The 8,044-nt window shown below is 36.2% G+C and overlaps 1 long non-coding RNA gene across 1 annotated transcript in view; it reads right to left on the bottom strand.

Annotated features, from left to right (window-relative positions):
- The window catches only part of LOC107984215 (uncharacterized), a 99,856-nt gene extending 91,880 nt beyond the window's left edge, over window positions 1-7,976 (bottom strand). Inside the window, exon 1 of the long non-coding RNA XR_001747394.2 lies at window positions 7,517-7,976. This is a non-coding gene — a long non-coding RNA (uncharacterized LOC107984215). The remainder of the gene's footprint in view (window positions 1-7,516) is intronic.

Raw genomic sequence — 8,044 nt, forward strand, 5'->3', positions numbered from 1 at the left:
CAAGACCAGCCTGGCCAACATAGTGAAATCCCATCTCTACAAAAAATACAAAAATTAGCTGGCAAGGTGGTGCGTACCTGTAGTCCCAGCTACTTGAGAGGCTGAGGTGGGAGGATCACTTGAACCCAGAAGGTCAAGACTGCAGTGAACCCTGATCTCTCCACTGCACTCCAGCCTAGGCAACAGAATGAGACCTTGTCTCAAAAAAAAAATAAAAAATAAAAAATAAAAAAAAGATACTCCTGAAAAATTAAGTGAAAAAATATAAATATAATTCAATTAGACCTATAGGTTCTAAAGATAAAAGACCCATTTCAAACTGACTTTTAAAAAGACAGTGGGAAATTTATTAAGATGATGAAAAATCAAGATGTAACCTTCAGGTGAGTTCTAGCAGCTCAAACAACATCACCAATGACTCAGATTCTCCACACCGCTCTATTCTGTTTTCCAAGTGATTGTTTTTGTCATTAGTATTACACTATGTTCCCTAGCCCAGTCACCAAAACGACAGACTCTTCCTCATGCTTCCAGATCTCAGCTCTCATTCTCGCACTGTCCTGACCAGGGAAAGAATGAACTTTGTCATTCTTTCCCCATGGGCTCGGCAGACAATTGATTTCTTGCTCCTTGGCGGTTCTGTTTGGCTTGTGTGTCCATCTCTGATCATATCCTTGAGGGTAATAGGATGGAATCAGTTAAGTGGCTTAAGTCAATCAGGGTCTAAGTCTAGATCAGTGCTTCTCAACAAATGGTGGGTGATTTTTCCCCTAAGGGAACATCTGGCAATGTTTGGAGACATTTTTAGTTGTCACACGGGAAGAGGATGCTACTGGCATTTAGGAGGTGGAGACCAGGAATGCTGCTAAATATCCTACAATGCACTGGACAATTGAAACCTATGCCCCCCGACCCACCCATACGCTCACCAAAGAATTATTTGGCCCAAAATGTCCATAGTGCTGAGGTTGTGAAATTCTGCTCTGGAGCCATCTTATCTAAATTTCATGACTGAGAATGGGAAGGGGAGTTGTTTCTCAAAGAAGAATCAGAGTATAGTTCAGAAGGAAGGGAAAGTAATTAAACTATCAGCCATCAATTACAGTATACTTAAAAAAGATTGAATAAATATATACACCAAATATTATCAGTAATGATTTGAGACAGTGTTCAATAATTTCTTTACATGCTTCTGTTTTCTAATTTATCTAAAATGAAATTTTGTTAAATGTAAAAAGTCACTTGAAGAGAAAAGTACAAAAGAAGTATCTTTTCACCAAACAATCCTAACCTCTTCCAAAATGGTATGCCTCAGTAGAGATTGGTTCCATGTGCATGCTTTTACCCACTTTTACTGTCAAGTATGAACTATTTTGTATTCTACTTTTTTCTCCTTGACATTATTTCATGCAGACCATTCCATAAATCCAGGTAGTCTTCATATTTGACATTTTAATGGCTATATAATGTTTCATTGTATTGCTATGTCAAGATTTACTTAGTCATTTCCTGGCTGTTAATGACTCTGGATTCATCTGCCATTATGAAAAGCATAACTGTAAACTTCTCTGCAAAACTGGAGCTTTCTTTACTATTGATTTTTTCCCTTGGGATTTGCTCCACAAAGCCAATTTGCCAAATTGTCATCTTTAGTACATGTTGTCAGATTTCTTTCCAGAAAAAGTATGACCCTATTTCTACAGACAGTGTATGAGTTCTTAAAGCTCTGGTAGCTTTAATTCCAAAAAAACACTATTATTAATAATTTAATATGCATGAGGCAATATATTAGGCCATTTTAATTTTTAATTCTTTAATTATTATGGAAGCCAAACATTTTCCCAAGTGTTTGTTCACTATTTGTATTTTTCCTTGTGCAAACCATCTGTTCATATTCTTTAACCATCTGTCCAGTCAGACCTGAAATTGGCCATATAGATAATATTAATTTCCCTAATATATATAATGTTAAATGTTTACTGTTATGTGTATTACAATACTCTCGTATTTTTATCATTTTAATTTTTCTAATTTGAGAGTAATCATTTTTTGTTCTTCATCTTGTGGTATGTATGTATGTACTTAAATTTCATTCACTTGAACCTGTCAACCTTATCATTTGTTCAGTGCTAACTCCTTTTATTGCTTTTATTGTCCAAAAATTATTTTTATTTCAAAATGGATGTATGCAGTATTGTTTTATTTCGTGTGTGTGTGTGTGTGTGTGTTTGTGTATGTGTGGTAGGGAAGTTTAAACTTTCCCTCTGAAGTGAGACTGCTGAAATAAACTGACAATAGAGTAGCAGAAGAAAAAGCATACAAATGTATTAAAGTGCACATGGTCACAAGACCCCCACAAATATGAGACTCAAAGAAAGGCCAAATTGTTGAAACTTATATATCTTCTTCATAGGGAAGAGGGCGATGGCGGAAACTTAGGCAATTTTGAGGGATTGTAAATAATTTTCAGGAAAATTGAATAGGCCCAAAGAGCAGACAGTAGTTTTTGAATTATTCTTTTCGGAAGAAGAATGGGACCCACAGTTATGGGAAGGTGAGGGGCAGAACTGTACTGTGAACAAAGGTTGTCCTATTATGCATTTAATTTTTATTTAAATAGTAAATATTTAAATAATCTTAAATAAATCTTAAATAATAAAGTAATCTCTCAGAGGTGCCATCAGAAGAACAGATAAAAAGTGTTTCAGGGCATAGTGATGACTTTTAGTCTTTCCTCTTCTCCAGTAGTTAATCTTTCCTGGTTATCTGATAAGATTCCTAGTAAAGAGATCTTAAGACAACTGCACTTCTTTTGGAAGACTCAGTGGGAGAAAGCCCTTCTCTTCACTTGTGGGGAAGAAATAAAAAGTTAGAAAGTCGTTGTTTCTGAGGCAGCTTCTAAAGCTTTCCAATTTCATTTAATTCAAAAATGCTCAGCATACCAGAGCACCATACTTGGGGGGTATTGTACTCTGAGCTCTGACATGATACACATATCCACATACTACTTTTAACTCAAAAAATAATTCTTTTGAAGTGAATTATTCATCTAAGCCTTAGACGCCAAGGTTACTTCCCCTGTATTGATAGTCACTTTCCCACAAAAAATATACTGAATAATTTTATATCCCCTTGTTTCTAATAGGTTAAATATGTATTAATTTCTGGAACCTCTTATCTCTCTGGACTATTTTTTGGTTATTATTTCAATCAGAACACTGTTTTCATATCTACTCTTCCTTGATAAGCACTTTTAACATGTGAGAGGCTACTTCTCCAATATTATCTTTAACATAAAAGTCTATTTTTATCCACATTTATTTCAGTTGTTATTTTTTCAATTCCTGTAAAGTAATCCATTGGGATTATAAGTGACATAGCTTAAATCTATAAGTTGAATGTATTTTAACCTTCGTAATTTCAGCTCTTTGGTCAGCAAGTGTATCTTTCCATTTTTCACCACCCGTCATATAATTACAGACTGAAGAGAGTTGAGATATAATTTGAGTTCTAGTTCTAGGCCACCCTCCCCTGTATTCGTGTCATTTTCCAGATAATCAAACCAAGGCCCAGAGACTGGTTTGTCCAAAACATCTGTATCTGCTTAGGAGAACACCTAGAAATTGAACCCAGAGCTTATCCCATGCTATTTTTTTCTATCGAACCATTTATTTAAGTCTTCATTCACTGCCTTTAGAGCTTTAAAACTATATTTTATATATATTAGATGTTCCAGTTGGTTAGTTTCTAGGAATTCTCTAGATTGAGGTAAAACAAAAATGAGTATCGACATTGAACTTTGGGCAGATGGAAGCAGATAAAGTATTTTCAGTGCAGATTAATTGTGTAAAGCTTATTCCAGTCCCTCATTCTTTCCCAAATGGTTTTTGGTAGGGAAAAGCAAATTGGCTTTTGCACTTATCTCCCATTTTTTGGTCATTCTATCCTATCTTTTAGGGATTTTATTATCAAATTTATAGTTTGCAGAGAAGTGTGTTGGATATACAAAGAGTCAAAGTTATAGAATTTTGCCTTTCCTGAAGATTCTCACAATCAAATTCAGGACATCAGATATACACTGTGTCAACTTCATGAAACAGAAAATCCCAGTAACAGTGATTTAAACAAAATATAGATTTATTGGTCTCTCATGTAATTGGAAATCTGAAGGCAGGCAATCCAAGACTAGCATATTGACTCCACACTGTCTTCAGAATCCTGGGCTCCTTCATGTCTTCTACTTCTTTAAAATCAAGATGTGGGTCTCATCTTCATGTATACCAGAAGATTGCCAGTGCTCCAGCCATCATGACTAATTTCCAAGCAGAAACAAAAGACAGAGCAAAAGTCCAGTGCTGAGCCAGCTCCTCTTTAACTAGTTTTCCTGGTAGCTCCCAGTGATGTCTGCTCCTATCATTGCCCATAACAGCATCATATGATTGCCACCAACTACAAGGGAGCTGACAGATGTAACATTTTAGCTAGGCATATTGCTACTCTTAATAAAATCAAAGATCTGTTTGTAAGTAGAGAGAGTGGATATCGGCCAGGCAAATGATAGTCTCTACCACTCAGTGTACAAAGTAAAAGGGAAAACATAAAGTAGAGTTTTGTTCAGGCTAAGACCATGTGTCCAAGAATGTGAGGTTAATGCATGGCCTTGATGGTTAAGTTGGATTCAGATAAATGGTGGTGAGAAGAGGGGACATTTTAAGACCAGTAAGGGCTTGATCACAGATGAGGTAAAGGTCCTCCTAGCAGGTGTAAAGGAGAATGGTGGTAGGGAGGGAGGGACTTCCTCTGTGCTTAGAATGTCTTTCTGGGAGTGTGAGGATATGTAGAAATGCAAGGATAGATTGGTTATCAGCTCTGTTTACCAATTACCGTTGTCCTCATTAAATCTTCAATAACAACTAACGTTTATTAAAACCAAGTATGTACCAAAGGGTTTGCTAGGTGTTTTAACGTATGTTGTATCTAATCCTTACAATAACCCCATTTTGGGGATAAGAAAACTGATCTGTCACAGGTTGAATACTTGATCAAGCTCATGCGTCTTTTAAATTTAAGATATTCTGACTTGAATGTGTTTTACACCAGACTCCATGATTTTTTTCCCACAATGTCACAATGTTAAGTTAATTTATTAACTTTGCTTGGGATTGGGGGTGAAGGTGGGTGAGTTAAACCGGTATTCCTTGATATTTTCTAAATTCTAAACTTTAGGGGAACTTTACAAACTCTTCAACTAACTAGCAGTGTGATCATAGACAAGGTACTTATCCTCTCTGGATTTGAATTTGTTTACTTATTACTCAGATACAAAACCAGACAGATACTATAAGAGAGGAAGCTTTCAGTCCAACATCCTTCATCAACACAGACACAAAAATTCTAAAAAAATGTAATCCATGATACATAGAACATAATCCAACAATACATGAAACAAATAATAAAACTGACAAAGCAGGCTTTATTGAAGAAATACTAAGTTGGTTTAACGTTTGAAAATCAAGTAACAAACTACAAAAAGAAAATAGGAAAAAGGTATGATTATATCAGTAGCTGCAGAAAAGCATTTGACAAAAATCCAACATCCCTTCCTGATAAAAACTCTCAGTAGACTACAAATAGAAATTTCCTTAATCTGATAGAAAATTTATGAAAAACTTATAGCTAATATCATACTTAATGGTAAAAGGCTGAATACTTTTCCTCTAAGATCAGGAACAAGACAAGGATGTTCACTCTCAACATTTCTATTCAACACTGCGCAGGCTCTAACCAGTGCAATAAGGCAAGAAAAAGAAATCAAAGACATCTGTATTAAAAAGAAAGAGTAAAACTCTTTCTACACAGATGACATGATTTTTCTATGTAGAAAATCTGATAAAATCCATAAAATGTTACTAGAACTAAGAAATGAGTTTAGAAAGATTACAGAATACAAGATCAATATACAAAATCTACATACTAGCAATCAGAAATTGAAATTGATAAAACAATACCACAGCATCAAAAATATGAAATGCTTTAGGATGAATCTATCAAAAGATGTGCAAAACCTATACAGTGAAAACTACAAAACACTACTAGTAGGTGTTAAGGAAGACCTAAATAAATAGATAGGCATATCTTTATTCATGGGTCAAAAGATTCAATATTGTTATGATATTAATTTCCCCCAAACTTATGGATAGAATCAATGCAATCCCAATCAAAACTTAAGTAAGATCATGTGTAGAAATTGACAGACTGAATCTAAAATTTATGTTGAAATACAAAAGACCTAAAATAGCCCAAACAACCTTAAAAAAGAACAGAGGTACAGTACCAATGCTAGCTGGTTGCAAGTCCAGTCATCAGGATATTGTAATATTGATGTAAAAATAGACAAATTAATTAATGGGACAAAATAGGAAGTCCAGAAATAGACACAACACATTGATAGGAAACTGATTTTTGACAGATTCAAAAACAGTTCAGTGGAGAAAGAGTAGTCTTTTAAAAATTGGTGCTAGGAGCCAGGCCTGGTGGCTCACGCCTGTAATCCCAGCACTTTGGGAGGCCGAGGCAGGCAGATTACCTGAGATCAGGAGTTCAAGACCAGACTGGCCAACATGGTGAAACCCCGTCTCTACTAAAAATACAAAAATTAGCCAGACGTGGTGGCACACGCCTGTAATCCCAGCTACTCAGGAGGCTGAGGCAGAAGAATTGCTTGAGCCTGGAAGATGGAAGTTGCAGTGAGCCAAGATCGTGCCACTGCACTCCAGCCTGGCCGACAGAGACTCTGTCTCAATCAATCAATCAATCAATCAATAAAAATGGTGCTGGAACAACTGGATATAGATATGCAAAAAACAAAACAGATAAACAAAACAAAACAAAAATTTTGGCCATATATAAAAATTCTAAATCGGTCAGAGACCTAAATGTAAAACCTAGAACTATAAAAATTTTAGAACAAAACATAGGAGAGAATCTTTGTGATCTTGGATTAGGCAAAGATTTCTTAAATATGATACCAAAAAAAGAACAATCCATTAACAAATTGATAAATTGGGCTTCATCAAAATTAAAAACTGCTCTTCCCAAGACAATATTAGGAGACAGAAAAGACAAACAAGAGACTGGGAAAAAAAATCTTTGTAAAGCATATGTTTGATAAAAGATTTGCATCCAAAATATATAAAGTGTTCTAAGCTCAATAATGAAACAACTCAACATTAAATGGGCAAAAGATCTGAACGGACACTTCACCAAGGAAAATACACTCGCTGCAAATACGCACATGAAAAGATGCTTAACATCATTAACGATTAGAGAATGCATAATAAAGCCACAATGAGCTACCACTACACAGAACCGGAACATCTACAGTTAAAATCTCTGGACTTTCAAGTGTTGGCAAGGATGAAGAACAACTGGAACTCGCATAGACTGCTAGTGGGAAGGTAAAGAAAAAAACCACTTGGGAAAACAGTATAGTAGTTTCTTAAATGGTTACACCTACCTTACGACCTGGGCATTCCACTTCCAGGTATTTACCCCAGAGAGGAAAAACCGTATATGTCTGTACAAAGATTTGCACAGGGATGTTCCTAGCAGCTGTAGTTCTAATCAGGAAAAATTGAAAGCAGGCTAAATCAAGTGCTGACTAAACACACGGTGGTATATCCATAAATGGAATACTGCTCAGGAAGCAATGAATGATTGTTCCATGCAAAAACACGCAGGCATGTCAAAGTAACTATGTTGAGTGAAAGAAGCCAGACAAAATCAAGTACATATGGGATGATTCCATTTATGGACGACTCTAGAAAATGCAAACTAAAACAGATCAGTGTTTGGGCTGCGGATGAGTGGAGTTGGGATAGGTGGAGGGGGGCAGGGCGAGGGAGGAGCAGGAGTGGGAGGAGCTGGGAGATGCAGAGATGGGTTGGGGAGGGTCTCATGGAAGGGAAGGGAGAGAGGAAGGGGGAGAGGAAGGGGGAGGAAAGGCAAGGGGAAAAGGAGAGGAAGAGGGAGGGGGAGAGAGAGG

This window comes from Homo sapiens, chromosome 10 (assembly GCF_000001405.40).
Source record: "Homo sapiens chromosome 10, GRCh38.p14 Primary Assembly".
Lineage (NCBI taxonomy): Eukaryota > Metazoa > Chordata > Mammalia > Primates > Hominidae > Homo > Homo sapiens.